At 40.1% G+C, this 25730-nt stretch overlaps 1 protein-coding gene and 2 long non-coding RNA genes across 7 annotated transcripts in view, besides 1 other annotated feature; 2 read left to right on the top strand and 1 right to left on the bottom strand.

The window, feature by feature from the left end:
• LOC105375238 (uncharacterized) overlaps positions 1-14023 on the top strand; it is a 58176-nt gene extending 44153 nt beyond the window's left edge. Inside the window, exon 3 of the long non-coding RNA XR_927186.2 lies at positions 13939-14023. This is a non-coding gene — a long non-coding RNA (uncharacterized LOC105375238). The remainder of the gene's footprint in view (positions 1-13938) is intronic.
• The window catches only part of POU6F2 (POU class 6 homeobox 2), a 490693-nt gene that overhangs the window by 38299 nt on the left and 426664 nt on the right, over positions 1-25730 (bottom strand). For 3 of the 5 annotated variants that reach the window (NM_007252.4, NM_001166018.2, NM_001370959.1), the window contains one exon: positions 23563-23703. The exons of the other annotated variants lie outside the window; for them this stretch is intronic. In NM_007252.4, coding sequence (NP_009183.3) covers positions 23563-23703 — 141 coding nt within the window. The remainder of the gene's footprint in view (positions 1-23562; positions 23704-25730) is intronic. 5 annotated transcript variants of the gene reach the window in all.
• Positions 15683-15812: an enhancer, noted in NCBI's record as "active region_25875". NCBI's record gives its function as "activates an Ori minimal core promoter by ATAC-STARR-seq in GM12878 lymphoblastoid cells {active_cell/tissue: GM12878}" and the evidence as "EXISTENCE:reporter gene assay evidence [ECO:0000049][PMID:35858748]".
• Positions 23957-25705, top strand: POU6F2-AS1 (POU6F2 antisense RNA 1). The gene is made up of 4 exons (NR_046711.1): positions 23957-23969; positions 24184-24286; positions 25298-25376; positions 25520-25705. It is a non-coding gene; the product is annotated as a POU6F2 antisense RNA 1 (long non-coding RNA).

Here is a 25730-nt window from a genome sequence, read left to right as displayed (position 1 = left end):
GTCAGGAAGCCTTTGGTGGCACTATGCATTTCTTATTTTTGTTCCCCTTTCAGGGGCATTGGGGTCACCATCTCAACGTGTCAAAAACTCAGTAGTGCATTATGGGGAATTTCGTCATATTCCCGAATGTATCACAATATGTTGGTTTCAATTGGCTCCCATTCATTGAAGGGTAAAGATGGTCACACATTGTGTCATCTAAATATTCTCTGATGTGCCTATTTCGCTTATGCTGGCTCTGATTCCTTTTAGCACGGCCACAGATCTAATCAGAACTCCTCCATGGACTTTGACTTCACAGAGGTCGCAAGAATGGAACCGGGGGAGCTGAGATGGCAAAGATCTGAGACTCTGTACTCATGAGAAGTTGTCCATTTCATCTGTGGAAATCATATTTTAAATTAAAGGCCTTTTGATATTCAAGGGAAGTATTTGCATCTACATATGTTTCAACTAAATCAGGAAATGAAAATGGAGGTTTGACAAGGCTGTAGGGGAATCTCTTCTTTGAGAATGAAGGTAGAAACAGGATGCTTTTGGAGTTTGACTTCCCAGCTCCCAGAAGCTAAGATTTACTGCTAGGAGAAGTCCTGATGGAAGGATTTGCCACTGAGCACACGGACAACTAGGCTGTGACTCCTGTTCAAGCCACTCAATGTACCAGACAGATTTATGTTCTCCTGAAATGCCGAGGATTCCTGCAGAGCAGCCTAATACTGCTTCTCTCTGTAAACACTGTGTCAAATGCCATGAAGGATGCCAAGAAGATGCAGCTGGGGCAGGGGAGGGGTAAACAAGACAGGTACCTTGAATGCAGAGATTCCAACAATCCAAGGGTGGAAATGATGAGCACCAAATGAGTTAGCAAGTACTCTTTGAGAAAAATCTCTATACCCACGTGGTGACTGTGCAAAAGACTATTGGGAATGAATGAGTCACTTCCGAGGAAGAAAGGTGGGGATGGTCCAAGAGGCCTTCACAGAAGAAATGGGGGCCAAGCAGGGTCTGGAGATTGGGTACGATTTGGGGAAGGCAGAGAAACCATTCTAAACAAGAGATCAGCCTAAAGGTGAGAAACATGGGGGATGGGGAGTTGAATGCAAGAAAAGGTTGAGACAGGTTAGCTTGGGAGGGTCAAATTCCATCCAGCCAAGGGGTTCCGATGAGTGAGTTTTTTTTTTTTTATTATTATTATGCTTTAAGTTCTAGGGTACATGTGCACAATGTGCAGGTTTCTAACATTGTATACATCTGCCATGTTGGTGTGCTGCACCCATTAACTCATCATTTACATTAGGTATATCTCCTAATGCTATCCCTCCCCCCTCCCCCCACCCTACGACAGGCCCTGGTGTGTGATGTTCCCCACCCTGTGTGCAAGTGTTCTCATTGTTCAATTCCCACCTATGACGAGAACATGCGGTGTTTGGTTTTCTGTCCTTGCGATACTTTGCTCAGAATGATGGTTTCCAGCTTCATCCACATCCCTACAAAGGACATGAACTTGATGAGTGAGTTTTGACGGGAGTGTAGGGAAGTGCTGAAATGGGGCTATTCTGTGTGAATGTCACTGTGTGGACAGAATGGACTCAAGTGGTGAGGGACTACAGATCTGGAAATCAGTTGTAGACCTAGGATGCTGCTTAGTGTCCAAGTGTGAAGCAAAATGCCTCAATGACTCCTTGGCATAGGATTTGCTTGATTCACTAACTTTTGCTTCAATTCAAAAAGCATGGCCTACTCTATGCCTAGGTTGCAACATTAGAAATTTTTCAGTTAAGTTATTGCCCTGTAAATCTCACAGCAAATAGCTCAGGCATTGTTTGCAATGATCCTCTATGTCTTTGCCCCGATTCTCCACCAGTGGTGATTCATCTCTGAAAAATGCTTTAACCAGGCCAAGGCCCATACCAGTAATTGTAATAATAATTTGTGACCTAAAACAGTTCTGGCTTCTCTGAAACAGGACTTACTTGGTTGTTGCTGTGAATGTCCATCTATCTCTTTCCTTAAATGAGTTAAGAGCATAAGTCACAAAAGAGGAATAAAGTTCATATTATAAGAGCAACTAAAAAAAATCATTCAAATAGTAGTGTTTGCTAGCACACATATTTGAAAGATCCCCATTTCCATAAGAACTTGAGTGACTTATGCCCAAATGTGACTATCACTAATTCAGCAGCTATTATAACTTAAGCCATAATGAAGATTAGCTTGCAGTTGTAGCAAACCCCAGCAATTCAGGGCTCTGGAGCACCTTTGGGTCATGAGGTTATCCTTACATTGCCCTCAAGTGCCTCAGTCTAGTTGAGGTAGTCAATAGAGATGAATCATGACTGATGGTGGGTAAAGTGTCCTGAGTGTTTTCACTGCTGATGGGTTCATGTCATCAGCAGCAGTCTGAGGGTTCTGTCACAGAAGCCCAGGGCATTCAGACAAGTCATCTGATAGGCCACATATTGTTATAGCCAATGATATGTTGTTAAACTCTGTTATGGAGAATGTGATTGCAGACGTCAAATTGACAAGTAATCTTGTTGCCCATATACGTAAGAAAAGGAGACCTATCAATGCTGTAAATCGGTGACTTCCTCAGATCTTTCAATCCATCAGCAGAGACAATTCTTTCCCAAATATTTGTACAATCTCAGCACATTTTGGTCAAGAGATTTTTGTTAACGCTAGCATCATTCTGTCCATTCTTGATACTGTTTGGTATCAACTTTAGAAACACACTCACAGACAAGAGTAAAGAACTTGGAGGTGTCAGGATCCTTAAAATGGCACTTTCTGTCACACTAAGAGAGGAATAATTTGCGTGAAAACTGATGTTATTTAAACAGCAATAACAATAATAAAAACAATCCTCTCCCCTAAAAGCTTCTTAAAAGCCATTAAAGGTAATTCTCCTTAATAGAGTTTAAGATGTGTACCAAGGAAAAAAAAATTCCCCACTGGCTGGATTTAAGGCCAGGCTTTGCCACCAACTAGTAGGAGATCATTGGTGAATTACTTTACCTCTTAGGATCTCAGTCTACTCACCTGTAAAATAGGAATAGTAATGTCCACTTCATAAGGTTACTGTGAGAACTAAGATAATCTATGCAAAGCACTCAACACTGTGGTTTACCAGCCAAATAAGTGTTCAATAATAAATGGTCATTCGTAGCTTAATTTTATTTACATGCTTGTGTGGTAACTCCTGGGCATTTACACTAAATTGCAAAAGCTCTTTTGAATTCTTCTGAATGTTATATTTTTTAAAGTGGAAATTGTTTACCATGATGAATAGAAGATAATAACTTATTATGAAATATAATTTAATCTTCCCTGTTTTATAATAGAATGCTACATTGGAAGTTTCCATGGGGGCACCAAGACCCAACTGGTGCTGCATTCCAGGGGAGGGACTAGACTATGTGCTGGATTTACAGAGGAGGTTACTGAAAACCAGCTAGACAGTTCCAGAACTCAGACCTTGACAAAGAGGATAGACACAGAATTTTTGAAAAATCTGTGTCTTCCTCACTTCCAGAGGTGGAGCATGGGGAGCTTTCTCCTTACCTCAAGGATAATGAAAGTGGCTGAATAAATATTGTGCTCTCAAATTTGGGGGAAATATTCTTGAGGAATGAAAAGGTGAGAGCCTATGGCTTTTGAGCTGAGGAGGGAGGAGAGAGAAAAAGGGAGGGTGAGAGAGAGGGAGAGAGAAGAAGAAGAGGGAGGAAGAGGAGGGAGGGAGACACAAAGAGAGTGAGAAAGATCACTGCCTGCCATTGACCCTAGCTACTCTCCCATGATAGCAGGAGTAAGGATGTGTGAGTGTTTCTCTGGGCTCAATATCATGGGTCTGAATGATTTAAAATCCTGTCCCAGAGGACCCCTTGGGGAATGGCCACTGGGACAACACCAGAGAGGGCTTTGAAGAGTAGATCTGGAGAAAACCAAGCTCTGAGCAGGAAAGGGGCAGCTGGAAGAAAACATGGTGCCCATAACAATGAAAGGTCTCAGCTGGGCCTCAAAAGAACTCATGAAAGTGCCCCCAAGAGTTGGCCTGAGCCAATGGCTGGTCCAGAGAGCAGGAAGCCTTCTGCTATTCTTATCCGCTGGTCTCTCCTTTCCTCACCTCAACCTGACTGGTCGAGAGCATCACTAGCAAGCTGGAGCAGGATGGGAACCATTCCAACAGGGAGAGCAGGAGGGGCCGGCTACCCTTTCCCACAGCAGCAAGCAGCAGGAAGGAGCCCCAGTTGGGGCTGCTAACGGCGTTTTAAGTTAGGGTTGCAGCTGGGACTGTTGTCAGGGAACTGGACATCTTATTTGCAATTTAAAGTGGCTATACAAGATTGTGTTACCTGAGATACCCAGAGAAGTCAAGAAGCAAGAAGCCACTGAGCTTTCGTTCCAGGGCAGAGGAACATCACCATTGAGAAGGCTGAAAGGGGCTGCCTTGCTCTCAAATATTAAGGCCAATAATACACAGAAAAGACATTTTATGAGTCATAATGAGCATCAGGACTTTGTCAACTAAGAATGCTTGAAAAACAGAGGAGAAATGAAGGCAAGAAGGAGACAAGGGAAAAGAGAGAAGAGATAATTTAAGAAGCTAGCAGAGGTACAGCATTTTAAATTGTGAGCAGAATATATTTTCCCATAAACTATGAATTTGGTTTATTTCTGAGAGGTAGCGGCTGCTATTTATAATACTGATTGTTGAAGTTTCAGCTGACTTAAACGTGTATACTATTCGAATGCATTAGTTGCTGAAGTTCCTCTGAAGATTTTGAAACCTTAAACTTAATAACAGGAACAGTCAATTCCTACCAACAGGGACAATAGTTATGATATCTAAAAAAAGGTCAGAAGAGTCAGGAGAAGTTTTGACATGGTCATTGACAGTTAGGTTAGCAAGGTTATTCCCATTAGTAACCAGAAATATTTACAAGGTATAACAAAGATGTGCTTTTGTGGCTCTTCATTTCCTCTATTATGTTTAATTAAATACCAAACTCCCAAACACGCTCTTGAACAGTCTTTTGTTTGTGTAGTTATTGGGGAAGAAGTAATCTAGTATGTTTGCCTGTGTTTTCCAATTACAAATGATGAAGCAGGGAGAAGAGATTCTATCAGATCTTAATGATGTTAAGACAGGATGAATAATGCCAATTCCAAAAGTGCTTTATGGGAATAATTTGCATATAGAGTATGGCCTGAACCCTAGTTATGCAGCCCATGAGCAGCAAACCTCGTAGAGGAAAGTCCACATCTCAGGGAATTGACACGTCTCCCAGGTAGGAGTCAACTCAGTGGATACAATGATCATTCTTATCGGACTTGAATATTTCTCGGGTCCTTTGGCAAAATAAAGTTAGCAGCCTCGGCCCCATTCTGAACAGTTGACAGTTCCTACTACAATAATACTACAACTGAATCTAGCACACTCCACACTCTGGAGGCAGGTGTTGTGTTTTTTTTTTTTGTGTGTGCTTGTTTTTCCTCAAATTTTTAATTTTAAGATGCAGCATAGTATCTGGGGTTACATATTTTACTGTAATTATGAGATTTGCCATGTTCTCTTTTATCTGGGTTTCCACTCGAGCTTTAGGAAACATTGATAGAAAAAGGATTTGATCCTGAATATAATCAAAAGAGTAAATTAAATTTACACAAGATTATATTACATTGAGATGAGAATTAAGTGAGGAGTCATTGTAACCACCTTCTTGGTCTATTCCTGGAGTGATTGGTGGGCAGCAATCGGTGTCTAGGAAATGTATCATTTTTTTGAACACGGTGTAGGTGCCTGCCACGAACACATGTTTTAAAATTATATCTGAATTATATATTGGCATAATGAAAAGCATACTGGAAAGTTCTGGATTACTTAAGGCTAATTGATTTCTCTACGGTACTTTTTTCTTTCTACTGCTCTGAATACTTTTTACTCAACTAGAAAGTAGGACGATGAAAATAGGAGATGGGGGAGTCAATTGTGCAAAATGTTATCTCCAGCTATTGTCAAGGTTCAGCTGGGCATTGCTATGGACTGAAGATTTATGTTCCCCCAAACTTCACATGTTGAAACCTCAAGTCCAATATAATGGTATTTGAAGTGAGGCCTTTGGAAAGTGATTAGGTCAAATGGGATTAGTGTCCATATAAAAGAGACCCCAGAGAGTTCCCTGGTCCCTACCACTATGTAAGGACACAGCAAGAAGATAGCTGTCTGTGACCAGGAAGTGGGTCCTCACTGAACACTGAATCTGCTGGCACTGTGATCTTGAATTTCTCAGCCTCTAGAACTATGAAAAATATATTTCTGTTGTTTGTAAGCCATCCAGTCTACCATATTCTGTTACAGCAGCCAGAACAGACCAAGACAGGCACGATGTTGGAATCAACGTTGACTGGCCTTCTCTGTAACTAAGGGGAAATACTTAGGGATACAAAGTAGTTCTCCCAGAAAGGGCCAGATAAGCAAGATGCTCAGCACTATATGTAATTCTGTTTGGGCAAGGGAAGTGGAATTTCAGGCATCTTTTTGGAAATGGACAGAGAACTTGCCATTTTGTTTCATGCCTATCTTCTCCTGGGAAATGTATTGCTTATGGTTAACATATACTCGAAGCTTTAAGTATATAAGCTTGGTTATATTTGTACAAATATTAATAATTACATATTAAATGTACGCCAGTATAGACAGTGGCAGCATTTTCACTGGCAGAATCCCTCTGCTTTATTCTGTGATGGCTTCAAAACTAAGAGGTTGTTTTATTCATGCATTTGCTCATGTACAAATTCATCACTCACTCACTCACTCACTCACTCAGCAAATCCTTTCTGAGGGCCTCCTGTGTGCCTGGCATGGGGGCAGGGCATACCACATTGTATTAGTTCCCACTATAGAAGACCAGGATGTTACCCAGCCATCTGAATTTGTGTAAACACTCTCTTTTGGATTAGTAGGAGTATTCTGTAAATCCTCTCTTAAGGCACCAGCAGCCCACCAGTGGAGAAGAAAACCTAGGCTCCCTGTAGGCAGGACAGTCAAGATGGCAGCAATTTACATAAAACTGAAACCCACACTGTTGACAAGAGTTCAATAGGCTCTTTTCTCCTCCTGGAAACTGCTGCAACTGTCAATGACTTTAGGTGATCTCCTAAAGTTTCTCCTTTTGAAGACCAATTACATGCTCAGATGTGTTTGCTGCTGGACAGCCGAGTTAACCCTTCATTGAAATATGACCTTATTCTGTGGATTGAAATGTCTACTCATTTTTATTCCAATTAGAATTCTACAGATATGGAAATTAAAATATATCCATAGATGGGAACTTTTTGGGAAGATGATGTTGCTGCACCATTGTTGATGGCACTGTCAGGCAGTTTTCTAGATCTTGAGAGTCCGAGAAATATCTGTCTATTCTGAATTTCATTTTAAAGCCACTCTGTAGGAAGGAAAATGACCAAAATGCCTACGTAAGTCAGGTAACAATCCGGACTGAGTTATTTTATGGGGTGTAGGTGGGAAGTCGATCTACTGGGACTTCTGGTCTCTAAGGACATAAATTGAAGCCACTGATTTCCCACTGGAGAGTAGACATGGCAGGCACATGGTGGAAAATGACCTCAACTTTGCATAGCACAATTCTCCTCCTCAGTGGCCGCACCACAGTCATAACCTCTGCACATCTTTAGTCCATCACAAGGATCCTATGCATTTCTTACTTGTAAACAATGGCACAGCTCCATCACGCTCCCAAAAACTTCCCATCTGTGGATATATTTTAATTTTCCTATCTGTAGAATTCTAATTTGAATAAAAGTGAGTGGACATTTCCACCCACAGTTATTTATAACAAGGGCACATGAGATATCGCATAAAAATGAATTCCTTCAAGCCACTGTGGCCTTGGTTTCCATTTCTAGCATCTTACTTATTCTTTTTTCCTCACTTATTTATTTATTTGAATATTACTTATTCAGTGGGAGGAAATGAAAATATTTGTAAATATGATCTAATGCTTCAATTTCCAATTCTTCTTAGTGGTTTTACGTTTTGATTATATTTGTCCACTAGAAAGTTTAAGAATGTTCCAGGTACTAGAAAACAAAGACACATTTTTATGGATAAACTGCAAACATTTCTTTTCATCATTCTTTCCTTTTTTCCCCAGTGACTACAAATTAAACTATGGTTTCTTTTCATTTTCTTGGTAGCTGCCAACACTGTCAAATTGCTGAAACATTTTTTCCCCCTTAAAAGAGAAGCACAACTGTGGTGAAGCCATCATTTTGCGGAAAGACCAACTTCGTGAGCCTTTATATGGCTTTGCCTGAACTTTAAGTTTTAATACCAGCAAAAATATCTAGAATTTGCAGAAGTATTTCTGCTTCTGCCTGTTGATGCCAGATTAAGTGACTAAATCAGATTAAAGTTATTTATTGCTTGGGAGAACACCTGTTAGTTTCACTCAGCTTTGGTCCTTAGAAGCTTTAGTAAACATTCCTAAATAAACCATTAGACCTATGAAATGTTTATATTATTTTTCTTCCCAAATGAGAAAAAAAAGAGCTACAGCAGTGGTAGCAAACAAACAAACAAACAACAACAACAAAACCCTAAATTTGGACCAGTGATCTCCAATATTCCAAGTTTTTTGGAGCAACAGGAATTGGTGAAGAAAATGTTTGGCAATTGCTTTAAGAAAATACTGTACAAATTTAGCATCCCTTTGTGCTGTGTTTATACTCAGTGAGCACATACAAGCTGTAAAGCTGAATTTAAATTAGGACAAACAACAAAACAAGCCTCTAAGAAAAAAAGAGGGTGGGGAACGAAGCGTGCCAAGTGCCATTAAAGATGCATCTGTTCATCACCACTCAGTTTCATGAGTCCAAGATGATTCATATGCTTTCTGTGAAGAGAATATCCATTGTTGTGGCAAAATTAAATGTATTTTGATACTTGCATGCAATATTTATCTATCTATTCAATCAGAAAAAAGTTGTCCTCATCACTCAAACATATATTACTTTTTCAATTTCCTGTTAGTAATTTTTTTTAATGTTCTTTAGGGTGAGACCACAGAATTTCTCATTTCTCACAACAAAGACCGTAACTCATAAGAATTACGCTGATGAGTTTTTCTCGTAAAATTGCATCCCCATTTTCATAGGTGAACAATCTGCAGCCTTATCCCTAATGATTAGGCAGTTTTTGATAGATGTATGGAAAGAGGGCTGGATATACTCTTCCAATTGTGGTTTCTCATAGTTTTCTAATTCCTACTTTAAATGTCCCTCAGAAAAAGAGTATTTGCAAGGCACTTCAAATTTGGTCCTTGTGAAATATGATTTCTTATTGCTAATAAACCAATCGATAAATGTAATGATTTTCTGACTGTCCTGTTTTAAGCTCAATAATTTATAATTTATGCTGATAGCATGAATTTTGGCATTTTTAATCTCAAAAGTTAGTTTCAAAGTACAGCCTTGTCAGGAACATGTCTCACAGCCTTGCCAGATGATATCATTCATAGACTAGCCCTATATATTATTAAGTAATGGAAAAGGTGGAATAATGATACTTACATCAAAGATCCATTGACATGTTTAGCTACAAAACCATTAACTTAATCCATAACTCAGAATTTAAAAAAATCTATTTAACTTTGCTAAAAAAATTGGAGCATTTTAAGCAATGTTTGTAGTATCATATTTGGTTTCTGAGAAGGTAAGTTTTTAGTACTTTCTGATTCACCTAGGTTCTGGATTTCAGGAACCAGTCTAGATGTGCAAAACCATAGATACTATTCCCATTTCTACTGCCTTATCTCCATGTGAGCCTAGAGGGGCAGAAACTCTACTTTTCAAATATTTAGAAATGTGTATGATTTTATGGTCTCAGAAATCAAAATGAATTCTCAGAGTCTGGAGTAGCACACTATGTCATTTCCTTTTGTGTTCATTTAAGGAATTTGTGTATCACCTTTTAAACATAAACATTCTTTCTTTCAGTAATGTTACCCTTTGTATTAAAAATCCTAAATAGTTCTTTTATAACCCAGTAATACTGAGAAGATCCTCATATAAAGAAGGCTTCCATTCTAAACTTGCAAGAAAATCTTCAAATTCCATGTGAATTTAAAACAGATTTTTGGTTTTGTCCATGTTATTTGTTCCTTCCTTTTGGTTATCTAGGATAGTTTGCTGACATTACTTGCAGATTTACTGAAGGCAGATGGGAATGTTTTCATTCTAGACCATCAGAGGAAATCAACAGTTGTTAAATGAGCCTAGCAGGTAATATCTCTGTGGCCCTGCCTTTTGATTAAATAAATTACAACATTTTGTTACGGAGAAAAGTGAATGCTATTATGTCTAGCAGCCACATAGTCATGTCATAGAGGCAAGCTAGGCATCATCTAGCCTGTTGCTGCTGCTGCTGCTAATCTGAAGAAAACAAGATTGTCCAGCTTACCCGGTCACTAATGTGTGGGCAGCTGACTCAAAATCATCAAACTGGTCTTCTCTGCATGCTGGCGGGACCATGGGTTTCAAGACAGATGCGAGTGCCAAGGATTTAACATCCTTTGTTACTTTTACTTTTTACAACAACCCCAAAATGTTAGCTGTTAAAACAATTGAAGTGAGTTAACTAAATAAACAATTGCCATTTTCATGAGATATAGTAATGCTGGATGACCCACTTAAAAGCATATCCACATAAAACTTCAATATATTAAACAGACCCTACTTTAGGCCAGGCATGGTGGCTCACTCCTGTAACCCCAGCACTTTGAGAGGCTGAGGTGGGCGGATCACTTGAGGTCAGGAGTTTGGGACCAGCCTAGACAACATGGTGAAACTCCATCTCTATTAAAAAATACGAAAATTAGTGGGCCGTGATGGTGCGTGCCTGTAATCCCAGCTACTCAGGAGACTGAGGCAGGAGAATCGCTTGAACCTAGCAGGCAGAGGTTGCAGTGAGCAGAGATGGCAACACTGTACTCCAACCTGGGCGACAGAGTGAGATTCAGTCCCAAAAAACAAGCAAAAAACCCAAACAGACTCTACTTTAGATCAGCCACCCTGAGTGGGTTAAAAAATATATACATATATACGTATATATATGTGTATATATACACATATATACGTATATATATGTGTATATATACACATATATACGTATATATGTGTATATATACACATATACGTATATATGTGTGTATATATGTGTATATATGTGTATACATATATATGTATATATACACACATATATATACATATATACACATATATACACATATATACACATATATATACATATATACACATATATATACATATATACATATATACACATATATACATATATACATATATATATACACACACACACACATGAAGAGAGCACTATATTTATGAAATGACTACTATATGGTAGGCACTGTATTAGGCACTTACACACGTTATGCTGAAAGCAGCTTTGCTTCAGAGGAAAGCTGGGCTTCAAAGCAGCCAGATCTGGGCTCAAATCCAGGCTCTATCATTTACTGTATGGCTCTGGAAAGTTGGTTAACTTTTCTTTCTTTTTCTTTTTTTTTTTTTGAGACAGAGTCTCACTCTGTCACCCAGGCTGGAGTGCAATGGTGCGATCTCAGCTCACTGCAACCTCCGCCTCCTGGGTTCAAGTGATTCTCTTGCCTCAGCTTCCCAAGTAGCTGGGACTACAGGTGCCTGCCTCTATACCTGGCTAATTTTTGTGTTTCTAGTAGAGACATGGTTTCACAATGTTGGCCAGGCTGGTCTCGAATTCCTGACCTGAAGTGATCTGCCTGCCTCAGCCTCCCAAAATGCTGGGATTACAGGCGTGAGCCACCGTGCCTGACCTGTTTAACTTTTCTGAGCCTTCAGTTCCTCAGCTGTAAATTAGAGATGATAGTGCAAAATCATTGTGAGAATGAAATGAAATGATGAATTTATGCAAAAATGCTTATTGACTAGCATATTAGCATATATGAAATACTCCATTCAGGCCACAGATTTTATTACTGTATTTATGGTCTTTATGTGCCAGATGCCGTTCTAGCCATTTGGTTCTAGCTGCAGTGAACAAAACAAAATACTTTAAATTATTATTACAGTACAGTGATTAAAAACAATCTCTATTAGACATAACTGAGTTTGAATCCAGCCATTTCTAGTTGGGTGATATTGGAAGTTTCTTAATCTGTATAATGGGAATAAACCATATTGTGTGTGGTAGTAAAGAAAAAGTAATATATCAAGTGCTTGGCACATAAATAGCTGCTTGGCACATAAATAGTGCTCAATTAGTGGCAGCAACATATTAATTTATTATTGCTATTAATACTAATCCTCCTAACAAACTTGAGAGGAATATATTAGTGTCATTTCATGGAAGAGATAACTTTAGCTGAGGAAGATTAAATATCTTGCCAGCGGGGGCAGAGCTGCTTGCAGATGAAGTCAGGATTCAGATTTGTCTGATTTGAAAGTCCATGTTCTTTATCCTGGGCCACCTTTCATGTGAGTACATGGACATTTGCACTGTCCATCTCTGTTACTCTAAGGAGATTGGTTTATTGTATCTATTGGCAAGTATCTCATCTAGGGAGTGTGCAACATTTTTTTTCCTGTTTGTGTATCTTTGTGTTGTTTGATTAATAGCATTTACTTACAAATATAAAGCTGCATCACATCTTGACTTCACTGTAGTATTCTGAACCCTCCACCTGATGACATCTTCTCAGGATCTATTTATATTGTTAGTTATACAGGTAGGAAAGCTTAGTTGATGAGACAAATGGCAATTTGGAGTAATGGCTAGTGCACTAAATTCAATTGGGTCATTCAAAGGCCTACATTTGAACTTAATCTGGCTCCTCTCACTGTTGTAAGTTGTGACTTTTCCATTCCTACCTAACTCTGATTTATTTCTCATTTCTTTCTTATTGGCTCTGTGAGTTGATGACATCTTTAAGAGTATTCATCATGTCAACAGCTCACAGACCAATAAGAAAGTTGGGTGCATTATTGGGCATATGGTGTGGTAAATGATATACTGAATGTTTATTTGAAAGTTTAATGTCGCTCACATGTGAATTTAATGTTTTCTCCTCTCCGATAATGCTCATCTTAACTATAAACATAGTTTGCAGAAGGAACTGATGTTGTTCTAGGACGCTAAATCAAAATTCAGCACTTCCTCCTTTTCTTGTCCACCCTCCTTCTACTCAAATCAAGTTTAATTTTCATTCTATAGTTGGAAAAGCTGAGATATAAATGGCTTCCACTCCCATCCCTGACTTTTTGTTAAATACTAAAAAGGAGCCATCATCAACAGCCCATTGTATGGTCTTATTGATACTGGAATTGGTTCAGGATATAAATAACATATTTCCTCAATTATAGTATCCCCCTTAATTACAACATTTCAATGATAACTTCTTTTTTTTTTTTACATTTTTAACATTTTTGAAATTAGGCTACTTCTAACAATTGATATACTTGTTAAATGTGGTATTTTCTTTCCTCCTCTCCAAAAATCACTGGTATGACTTTAAGTGTAATTTAAAATCAGTGGTGTCTTAGACTCAAAAGAATTCTTGTAATTCTTGCTCTATCAATCCCACAGAGTAAGAAGACTCAAAATACAGCATTCGATATTTCTCTTTTTCTTTGGAAGGGTTTACCTCATTCTGGGTGGATCTAGAAATGTGTGGGGTCTTGCCACATTAGGAGCTCAACCAATTCTAACATCACTGTGCTGTGTGGGACAACAATCTTCAGCTGCAATCTTCAGCACAACAGAAGATTCACTGGGATAGGGTTTTCTATTGAGCTCTGAAAGGCTCATTTGATGAGTGCCCATACGAAGCACTCACCATGCATTTCTTTCCTCATTGCTAGGTTGCCTCACTGGAAGCCAGGACACCTATGGACACCTTAAGGCGATTTTCTCTGGCAAGAAGTGGAGATCTGATACAGACTTTTCAAGAATGTCTCATTGCTTTAGACAATTCCCTGACACTACCTGTCTGGTTTCTTTGATTAGCAAAAATAATCATAGTAAAAATACCAATCAAAATACCCTGTAATTATTCGGTAAGGTTTACATCTCTTTACAGTTTTCTAGTGTGTGTGTGTGTGTGTGTGTGTGTGTGTGTGTGTGTGTGTGTGTATGCCTTCGAGAGAAATCTGTGAGGTTGACAGAGCAAGAATTACAATTGCCATTTGCAGATGGAGAAATGAAGGTTCTGGAGTTTGTGACATGTCTGCGGAACAGCCAGGAAATGAACCAGGACTCTGAACCCGAGAAAATCAGGGTGATATGGAAGGATGGGAATGGACTTGGAACGCAAATCTCAGTTCTGCCACTTCCAGAAGATGTTATCCCAGGGAGTCACTTAACCCTTGATGTCTTGAGAATTTGCTCATTTGTGCAGCTGAGATAGTCAAACCTACCATGAACTGCTCTGTTAGGATTATAGATTATACCAGCCCCAGGGTGAAGGCTTAATGCATGGGAGATATTATTTTCATTGTTCTTTTCTGGAAGTCACTTGGCCCAAAGGAACATTCAGCTAAAGCCTAGCACTCCTCTAAGAATTAAGCCAGTTAAAGAGCTTTGCACACAGTAAGAAGTCATGTGAACATTCGTTACAGTATTTTGCCATAAGTGGGCACTAATTGGAATGTAAACTATGCTCATGAAAGAAAGATCTAATATGTCAGACTAGCTCTGAGGGAGCTGTTTGTAAATGGCATCTTGTTACGTAGTACCTGTTTAGAATTATAGCTGTTATTTAGGTTGCTTCATTAGTTAATTGGTCCTCTCCTATCCTTTAGACAGACAGGATGTGCCAACAGACTAGATTTAGGAGCCTCCACAAGAAAACGTTTCCCAATTCCCAGGAAAACGAAATACTCATGGATAAAAATTAAAAAGATGGGGCAGGAGCGGTGGCTCACGCCTGTAATCCCAGCATTTTGGGAGGCTGAGGCAGGTGGATCGCCTGAGGTCAGAAGTTCTAGACCAGCCTGGACAACATGGTGAAACCCGTCTCTACTAAAAATACAAAAATTAGCTGGGCGTGGTGGTGTGCGCCTGTAATCCCAGCTACTCGGGAGGCTGAAGCAGGAGAATCGCTTGAACCCAGGAGGTGGAGGTTGCAGTGAGCCGAGATTATGCCATTGCACTCCAGCCTAGGCAACAAGAGTGAAGCTCCGTCTCAAAAAACAAAAACAAACAAAAAATTTAAAAAGATAAACAAAACGCTGCAGCAGCCAGAAGTGGGAAAAGTGACAGCATCCCAGTTCTGCTTTAGGTGAGAGAGAACTTGGTCCTCTCTAGCTCAATCTTCAGAGAGAATCCTGCAAACTAGATTTCTCACTGTGCATTCCCGCACACCCATTTTATGGTACATGGCAGCCTGCACTGCTGAGTTTTGCTGGGGAAGGAGGGTAGAAAGAAAGAGTTCAGAGAGGGCTTTCCTTTCAGTTCTTTAAGTTAACCCTAAAGCGATTGATAACTCTTTCATTTCAGAAATGTGGTGGGGGGGCGGGGTAGAAGGATGGAGGGCGGGGCGACCTTGGGCGGGGCCGCACCCGCAGTCTTAAGGACGCACAGCCCGGCGCTTCTGCTGGGGCCCTGACGTCCCGCGCGTCCGCAGCTGGGCCGCCCCGCAGCAAAGCTTCCTGTCAAGTCCGCCGCCCGCGGAGTCCCTGCGCATCGGGGCTCAACAGCGCCATTTACCATCAAGAGGGTCCCAGGCCTCAGGACGGCGAGGGCACTTCCGCCCTTCACTCCACAGCCGCCCCCTCCACTCTCCCTCTGCCTGGGCACTGCAGGAGAGCCCCTTCAGCGAGCGCCTCGGATCCTCCCACGTTCATTTGCCCTCGGTTTGCATATTACGAGTCCCTGGGACTTTTGGGAACAGTTTGAGATCCCTTATCTCTGCAAACGTGTTATGTAGGTGTGTGCCCTCAAAACAGCACAGAAATCACCGCGAAGCCCCGGTTGCAAAGGAAACCCCCATTGGAAGAGGTTCTGTTCTGATTTAAATCACTATTTCGCATTTTTAAAAACGTGGATAGGAATGAGTGTGAATGGCTTCCTGCAGCATTTTTTGAAGTGGGCTCTGCCAGCGTGAACTCTGGGAAGTGTTCGGTTGGGGAATACAGGGTTAAGAAAGTTAAAGGGGTTGCTGGGGTGAAGCTCGGTGGGGCAGCCCTGCCGCCTGGCTCCGCCCGCGGGTGGGTCCCACGCGAGACGGCTGCGCGGCGCTGCCCGGCTCCTCGGACCAGGGGACCGTCGTTTGTGGGGCATCTTGAGGGGCTCGTTATTTTCCCGAAGCGCACATTTAGGGAAAAACGGCATTAATGCAACTGTTTCTCCTGAAATGAGGAACTAAAGCTCTCAACTGGGCTCTAAGGGGAAATTTGATATGTTAGTAGAAAGATTGAGGTTTATTGTTTTATCTTTATAACTCAGATGAAGTCAGGGTAAAATTCCTATAATGTTACTAATCCCATGAACATATATATTTCCCAGTCTCTAGAAAGAGCTGATTTAAGAAATGTTATTCGATTAAAAAAAAATGCTACTTGAAGTATATAGTTCACACAACGTGACTTAATTTTTACACCTTTTAAAATAAAATTTGCTACAATGACATTGCAAATGAGACAATACAAGCTTTTTCAGATTTTTTTTTGGCTTATAAAAGAAAGATGGCCAAAACCATTAGTTAAGCAAGGTGATATGAATAGATTGCTCTGTTCATAATATTTGTGAGAAAACATACAGACACCAACTCTGAATTTTCAACAAAACATGTCTGATTCTTACTTATTCAAAATATAGAAACAATATATTCTTTTGCCTTTTTTGTATTTAAAAATGGTATTATTCTGTACATATTATTTCGTATCTTGCTTCTTCAATGAATATTTTGGAGTAAAAATGCAGAACGTGCATGGAAAGTGTTCATTTTATCATGGTAATCACCTTGGGAATGGGAGAAGAAGGTGCTACGGTTTCAGCTGTGTCTGTCATGTTTTGTTTCTTATTTTTTCTTAAAATTTTTTAAAATTAATTAATTAATTATTTTTTTTGTGGCTGCTTCCCGCGGCTCCTATCCCTCTGTTTCTTTTAAAAATAAGCAAGAAGGCCGGGCGCGGTGGCTCACGCCTGTAATCCCAGCACTTTGGGGGGCCGAGGCAGGCGGATCACGAGGTCAGCAGATCGAGACCATCCTGGCTAACACGGTGAAACCCCGTCTCTACTAAAAAATACAAAAAAAAATTAGCCAGGCGTGGTGGCAGGCACCTGTAGTCCCAGCTACTTGGGAGGATGAGGCAGGAGAATGGCATGCACCTGGGAGGCGGAGCTTGCAGTGAGCCAAGATCACACCACTGCACTCCAGCCTGGGCAAGAAGCAAGACTCCGTCTCAAAAAAAAAAAAAAAAAAAAAAAAAAAAAAAAAAAAAAAAAGGCAAGAAAACTGAAGCTAATACGGAAAAAATTGTTAATATCTAGGTGGTTAAACAAGAGTGCCTTTTGTATTGTTTTGCAAAAATTATTTTCTATACATTTAACATGTTTCATTGTTTAAAATGAAATAAAGTAATATATGTGAATCTCCCTAAACTCCTGATCAACTGGCTTTGGCAGGATATTTCTAATGCACCTCATTTATTTAGTCACATAGTCAGAATTACACATATTTCTTTTCCATGGGGTTTGAAAATAATTTTACAAATGTGTTAAGCTATGGCTTTGTTAGTTCTTTTTGGCAGATCTAATAAAACCTAGAGAGGGACTCAACACTCACTGAATAAATTCATTGTATCTCAATCCTTTGGCTGAGATTTGCATTTACTACAACTTTATTTTCATTTATTTTGCAGTGATTTGCTTTAAAAGATTCTCATGTATTTAAATGATGGGCTAATTACTTTAGCAACCCACAGTTCAGGGTTAATTGCTGGTTTTTCATCCTAACAGAATAGCCATGATTTATTAAATGCTTATGGCATATATCAGGCACTGTGCCAAGCACTTTTTCTACCACATTTAACCCCGCAACAAATATATGTGAGAAGCCTATCATTCCTGTTTTACTGGTGAGGAAACAGAGGCCCAGAAAAAGGTTTTATAACATATCCAAGGTCCACACAACTAAGAAGTGACAGTGTTTGGGTTCCAATAAAAGTCCATTCTTTTAGCTACTCTCTTGCTCTCTGGAGATGTTATTTGTCTTATTACAACCCAGAGCAACATCTCCATCTGAACGTCATGTTGCTTCAATTCTAAGATACGTATTTTTAACCATGTTTGAAAGTGATGACATTGGGATGGCCTTCCAGTTGATGTGTCCATCTATGATGCTGGTGGTGTTCCTGCCTCTCCATCCACCCCTCTCCAGCCTAGAGCTTTTGAATAGAGTTGAGTGGCAATCAATGGTTTTGTACAATCAAAGGCATATCCTCTAGGTCATAATGCATAGGCTACTGTTAGAACCATTTGATTGCTTTTCTTTCATCACGGCCTTGTGGTCATTTTAGGAGGCAGCCCCTATCCTACACAGATCCAGAAAATCCTTCCAAATCTCACCAAACCAACTCTGCTCAGCTGTCATATGTATGTGCGTTCTTGAGTAACCTGACTAGGTAAGTCTCTTTACTTTTCCTTCTTTTTAATACATTGAAATAATAGTGTTTAGTTGACTTCCCCCCCCTTGACTGGCTTTTTAAGGACAAACGCATTTGACTTTACTTGCTGCCACTTAAGAAAATTTCACAGTGGTCTAGGACTTAATTTCATCAGGAAACATTCTGAGCTTCAGTTAAAATGTAGAATGCTTTCTTTAGCACCAGTATATAATAAAATTTCATTTGCTTTTACTTTTCTGCAATAACGCCAATAAGGAGATATTGCCAGGGGCACCAGGGAAGCCAATTCTATAGCTGAACAAATCGATAGTAAATCTACTTGCCAAATCTTGAACATACCCACTGAATAAGTGTTAAGAGCACATATATACACTCACATTTTCCCTCCTCCCTGCCGAACTATCCAAGATAAGGGTAAGATTTCCTTAAAATAACTTAATGTCCTACTACTAAGATTTTCACATTCTCAAACTCCTCACACATACACAGACTTCAGCATGGGTTTTTGTGCACAGTTATGAACTGAAAACACATACCATCTTGATTAATAGGTAGCATTTATTGGATGATAGCATTATTGAGTGATGATTATGTGCCTGATGCCATTCTCAGGACTTTAGTCCTAGGACCCGGTGTTACTATTATCTCCATTTTTCAGATGAAGAAATTGAAGCACAGAATAAGGAAACTGCCCAGTCTCACAGCTGGTGGATGGCAGTCTGGCTCCAGAACTCTTTCTTTTTGCTTGTACACTGTACTGCCTCTTGCTGCATGTCCAGATCAAATATAGCTTTCCGGAAACTATGAGTCAAAACTCTTAACAATGATGATGATGATAATTATGCAATCATTTACTGAGAATACCTGTGTACTCAGGCACTGTGGTAGGCTTTCCCCACACATTATCTCATTTAATCTTCATAACCTAGGAGCTTAGATTTTATTATCCTTACTTTATAATTGGCAAAACCGAGGCTCAGAGAGCTCAAGTAATTTGCCCGACGTCACAGAGCCAGTTATGGGCCAACCTGGAATTCAAACAAGTCCACAGCTAGCACCCGTTCCATTGCCCACCTGCCACACTTGCATGATTTCCAGATCCAGTAAACAAAGAGAACTAGGATGTTTTTCTCAGCAATGCCATAGTCATGATCAATTTCATGACTACTAATTTCAGGAGGACACATGCTACCTTCCCACCTCAGAGTGGAGTTGGGTACTATATAACTTTAGAGCCTTTAACATCCCTGGGTAAGATATGTACTTTATGATTTTATTTATTTATTTTGGAGACAGGGTCTCACTCTGTCACCCAGGCTGGAGTGCAGTGGCACAATCTTGGCTCACTGCAACCTCCGCCTCCCAAGTAGCTGGGACTACAGGTGCCTGCCACCAGACCCAGCTAATTTTTTTGTAGAGGCAGAGATTCGCCGTGTTGTCCAGGCTGGTCTCAAATTCCTGGAGTCAAGTGATCCACCTGCCTTGGCCTCCCACAGTGCTGGGATTATAGGCATGAGCCACCATGCCTGGCCTCTACTCTATGACCTTAGAATGCAGTATTTCTGTTCAAATTCATAACTCTATTGAATAGTGCCTGTTCTTTGAATGAATGACACACGAATGGGTGGGGTTAGAAAGTTACAAAAACAACTGAAGTTTTTCCTCCATGTTTGCTCAAAATAACTACTGGTTGGGGAAAAAAAGGAGCAGTAATAAAATTCTTCAATATATGGAGATTTCCTATCTCTTTAAATTTACTGATATCCAGTTAACAGAAACAGAGTCAGATGCCAAGATAGGGAAGCAAAACTGCCAAGTCCCAGGAGGGGGGATTTCTTTCTGTTGAGAGTTGAGGGCCAAGACCCTGACGGAAGATTCTGGCATGTCTCCCCACGTGGGGTGGACATCTGCCCAGCCGAGGACATCTGCCCAGCCTTAGGACTGCTTGCCCTGCAAAAGTGCACCACTGGCATAGGCTGTGGGCCCTGTGAGACACTGGGTATGTCTCGTGGCTGCCTCATGTGGGTTCCATTTGAACATTAAGAATGAAACTATGGCTTAGGTAGGTTAAGTCATGGCTCCAAGATCATAAAACTAGAAAGAGGTGGGGCCTAAACTCAATCCCAGGTAGGTCTGAATTCAAAGTCTTAACTAATGAATCTTGCTTTTTGTTTCCGGGTAGCCAAAAGAATCTAGAGGAAGGGGAGGATCAGAACATTTCTGATAAGAGAACCCCCATCTCACCCCACCCTTCTCAACAGACCTAACCTCACCAAACTATCAGTAGAGTAAAACATGCTTTCCACACTTAGGTTTAGGTTTTAACGTGATTACTCTTGGGTGAACTTCCAAATGTAAACAATAGTTGATGTCAAGAACTCAAGTGAAAGAATCTTTAAACATATTCAGAGTTTTCTCTTTGTACCTTTTCTGGGAAAGTGCTATGCAGATTTTTAAGAAATTGAAAATGGGCTGGGTGGAGTAATCCTACTTTACATGGTATTTTGAGAAAGGCTAATTGTAAGAATCTGGTTCCAATGTATTGCTACCTTTTGTGCCACATTAACATAAGCCAAAGGAATATGCACACACACAAACAAAAAACACAAAATTTTTGCCTATCTCTTTTGGTGTAATTTGACCACAGGCTGTTCACCTCACTTCATAGGGTCACACAAGTATCTCTGTGCCAACAGTTGTAGGACATGCACCATTTCCTGGGAAGATAACCGGGTTTATATTCTGAACATCAAAAAAACAAAAAACAAACAAACAAAACCAACCATATCACTACATGAATATGGCCAATTATCCACTGGAAGTTTGAGTATTTTAACTCTTGAACTGTTTCTGCACTAGGTGGAAGACATGACCCCATTGGGCACATGTGTTAAAACTTAAGATTTCATGAGTAGGCATTATTGATTTCTCTGTGAATGTAATTTTTTTTCCACTTTAAGAGGTTTGTATGCCACATCAAATAAACGATCATACCACAGTTTCTAAAATAAGATATTTTAAAGTCAACTCTTATTCAATGTATGCACAGTACCAATCAATCTTCTACTTGGAAGATCATTTTCTAATGGGTACTTATGGGCTGGGAAAGCTATCCCTGGGGTTTGGCAAAGGCCAAAAAAAGCAAGTGTAGTAACTCTAGCTCCTGAGAATATCTAATTGGCAAAGTAATCAGCCCTTAAATCATCAGAAGAATAAACTCCTAATAATTCCTTCTAAATAATAATGGATTTTCTGCATCACAAGTATTCAAGTGATGGAGCATATCAGTGTATTTTACTTAGATGTAGGAACAAAAAAATCAGAAGGAAATATCTGTCGGTGGATATGGTTTCTATCTTGAACTCCTAAAATTTACATCTCAAGGGCCAGCTCCCTGGCAGGAGTGAGGCAGGGTGTCCTATTTCTGGGCACAGCTCTACGAAGCAGCGACCTGATGTGAGTATGAGTTACAGACATTAAAACCAACTTTTCCTCTACACCAATACCCCGTCCCTCCAGAAATCTTAATAGGCTTTTGAGAGCCTCCATTTAGAGCCGGCTGCATAAAATGATCCTTTGATGAAAAGGGATTGGAACAAGGGTTAAAGCAGACATTGAAAGGTTACTGTAGAGGGCACAGTGTTCATACAACCCTCCTTTAATATGTGCGGTGTGCACCTGTGATAAGATGATTCATTACATGGGGCCTCTCTTTGACAAGCTCCATCGTTCAGCCCTCGGGGTTCTGACGGGACAATACCACACCCGCCCAGGAAATAAAACAAGGTCAGCTTTTTTTCCCTGGAATGTAGACAGAGACGATTTAGCTTATAATGCATCTTTGTTTACTCTTTATGTAAAATAAAAACAGGGTTCAAGACATCAAAATGCCTGCTCTCCACAGAACAGGCCAAGCAGGGAGTATGCAAACACACTGCTGGGCAAATAGATAAGGCTGGGGGGAAAAGTCTTTGTGAGAATGCTAGCTCCTTCTCCCTTGGATTTCATGATCAGTCACACTGGAGAACCAAGTGTCCTAACCACTGGGCTCTGAGACAGGCCTTCAGATGGAGGGTACCCCGACATCATCAGCTTCATCTCGTTTGCTTTTTATGCAGCTTTTGGGTTTATTGGGTTGTCTGAAGCTCTTCCAGGATCTAGTATGAACATTATGTGGCACATTAGCAGCGTTGAGGGGACAGACCCTCTCTCATGACATGAGGAAAGTTTACTACCCCTGACATACTGAAGTAAATCAACAAGCATGCCAGAGGTTGCCTGGCTTCCGTAGGAATTGGCAGGAGGCCAGGGACCATGGGGCTGACTTGCAATTGGCTTCATTCTAACTCACCCCTTTTCTTTGTTGCTTTTACAAGACTTCTTCATCACCTTCCCATACATTCAAAAATTGGCTTTGTTAAGACTAATTTTGATATCTCTCTCACAGCAATTATGGAAGGAAACTGATCAGTTTCCCTCATTATCCAAGTTTTTCCTTAAGTGAAAAGTAAAAAAAAGCAAAACTGACATTTTATTTTTAAGATGTAACTTTTTTCTTTTTGAAAGAATGCCCCCTGTAATGCAAAGTAACTTCTTCATATAAGGTCATAACATGAGTCATAGTACAGAGATAAAAACAAAATAAAACTTTGGCAATCTAGAGGTAGGAAAAAAATCTTGCTTCTAAAACATAGAAACACCTCCCAACCCTTCTCCTATTCTTGACATTGCTAGTAAACATTATTTATTTGCCTCGAATAGATGCGGTTACATATCACTGTCATGCAAAAGAAATTCAATTCCTTTCCGAGTTCAATCTGCCATAAAAATGCACTCTTGTTCCCATCTCCCACTCACCTGTCCTTGTGCATTAGTAACTAGTTGACCTGTGACCCCCTGAAGACTGGAGAGGGCATTGCCAAAGGCCTGTGAGCTTGCTATGGAGCTCATGGCTGCTGCAGCCGCTGCAGCCTGACTTGCTAGTGGATTATTAACCAGCTGCAAAGAGAGAAAAGATCACCGTGAAAACCACCGAGAGGCACAGGCACAGCACACGGACACAACATTGACTCTGGGGAGGTAGTTCTCGCCTCAATTCGCTCATGCAAAGGGCCTGGAACCCACCGGAGGGGCGTGGCGAACATTCCCCCGGAAGCTCTGGGGTAGGGGGATGATGGAAACGAGGCTGGAAGGAAAATGTTGGGGAGCTTGGTGGAGTCTGGGTTTAGGGCTAGCCCAGGAGGGAACGAGCCTGAACTTCAGGGGTGAGGTGGGCTGTTAGGACCTTCTGGGGTGGAGAAATGATTTCGCAGAAGCCCTCTAGACTAAATAAAACTCAGGAAATATCTGCTTTCCCTGAGGTAACCAGACAGAATAGGAGAGTAAACAGGATGGGGATCGGGGAAAGAGAGGAATAGATTTTTAGGATTTCTAAGAATGAATTTATCATTTCCATTTGTGAATTGCAGTTTCTTTCAGGGACATCGAGCGAGGCAGGTGTTCCACCCCACTTTCTTGTTTGAGGGGAGAAGGAAACCAAAGCCAGTAGAAATGGAATTTATGGCCTCCGTGCTCTCAGAGGGTGAGTCTAGGGCTGCGACAATTTTGGGGCTTTAACCTAAACCACAGGATTCAATGCCAATGAGAAAGGTTGTTCGATGAATGGTCAGATTGACAACTGCTTGCTGTTGTAGCTGATACATGGTCTTTCCTCAGCCTCTTTCCTGGGACAAGAGTGAAACAGGGAGGAAGAAAGAGAGAGTGGGAGAGAGACCTGCCGGGGAGGAGGTTATGGCTGCCAAAATCTGTTTTTCCATGGAGACCAATTCAATATTCTCCTTCCTGCCAATTTTCCACGCCACAGGTTTTCAGGCCTTCTGACCATGAGGCAGAAGTGTGGCTTCAACTAAAATCTGCATTTAGGTTAATGACTAGATATAAATTCAAGAAACATTTAAACTATTTTCACAGTATTGGTTTTGATACATGAATTTCATTTGTATTTATTCTAGGGTGTTATTTTTTTCCCCATATAGTTTCTCTCAAGTACAACAATTGTTGTGTTGGAAATAATGCATTTTCCATCACCAGTTCCCACATCCATGAAATTCCTGCATTTTTTCAGAAACCTGCCACGACTAAGACTAGGTGGAAAAAAATTAATGCCATACCTAATTCAAGTCTTGGAAGCTCTTCTAAAAATGCCACTTTTAAAACTTTCCTTTCTTCATTTTTTGTCTCAGTCTCTCTTCTCTCTCTCTCTTTTCCTTCTTCCCTTCAAATCATATTTTATTTCTTAATTTCTTTGGAAATTTGCCTAGAGATTATACTATCTTATGAAGAAGGAAATATTAATTATCAGAGAAAACATCAAAAAGGACAGGAATTTAATAACTATTTTTTCATTAATGTGGTATCTTTATCTTATCGGTTTCTTTATTCATTTATAACTAAATTTCACACAACTGTTCTTCAGTAATTCTGCTGACCCAGCACATTTTTTAAAAAAAATGAGAATCCATTTTAAGTTGATTACTTTATGTCTTTTGCCTTTATCTCTCTCCTAAAAGACAATAATGATTTTCTTTTTAAGGAGAAAAAAATTCTCACTCATCAGCCTAAAGAGAAACCCTGTCTTATCCCAGATTACCACCATGGGATTTAAAATTCAGGTTGGTCTTGATTTTGATTTTTGGAGTATGTCTTTAAAGGATAGGTGGGGTAACTATGCATCCAGAAGTAACTCTCCTTGTTTGTAGACTACCTAAAGTGAGAAGAGTTCATAATGTGTTCTTTTTTTTTTTAACTTCTGAAGTGAGAAGACTGCTTGGGAAATACTGTCTCCGAACTGCCGGTACAGACACTGCCCATTGGTACAATATTTTTAGGTCATCTGTCAATTGCCATGTTTGCATTTCTTTCATGCAATACAAGTTGAAATCATAATGAATTTCTTGAGTTTCAGGAATATCTCAAAATAAACTTCTTCATCCTCAACAAATGATTAAATTATGTTCAGTTGGATC

Source organism: Homo sapiens, chromosome 7, assembly GCF_000001405.40.
Source record: "Homo sapiens chromosome 7, GRCh38.p14 Primary Assembly".
Taxonomy (NCBI): domain Eukaryota; kingdom Metazoa; phylum Chordata; class Mammalia; order Primates; family Hominidae; genus Homo; species Homo sapiens.
This window is presented reverse-complemented; position numbering and strand designations above follow the sequence as displayed.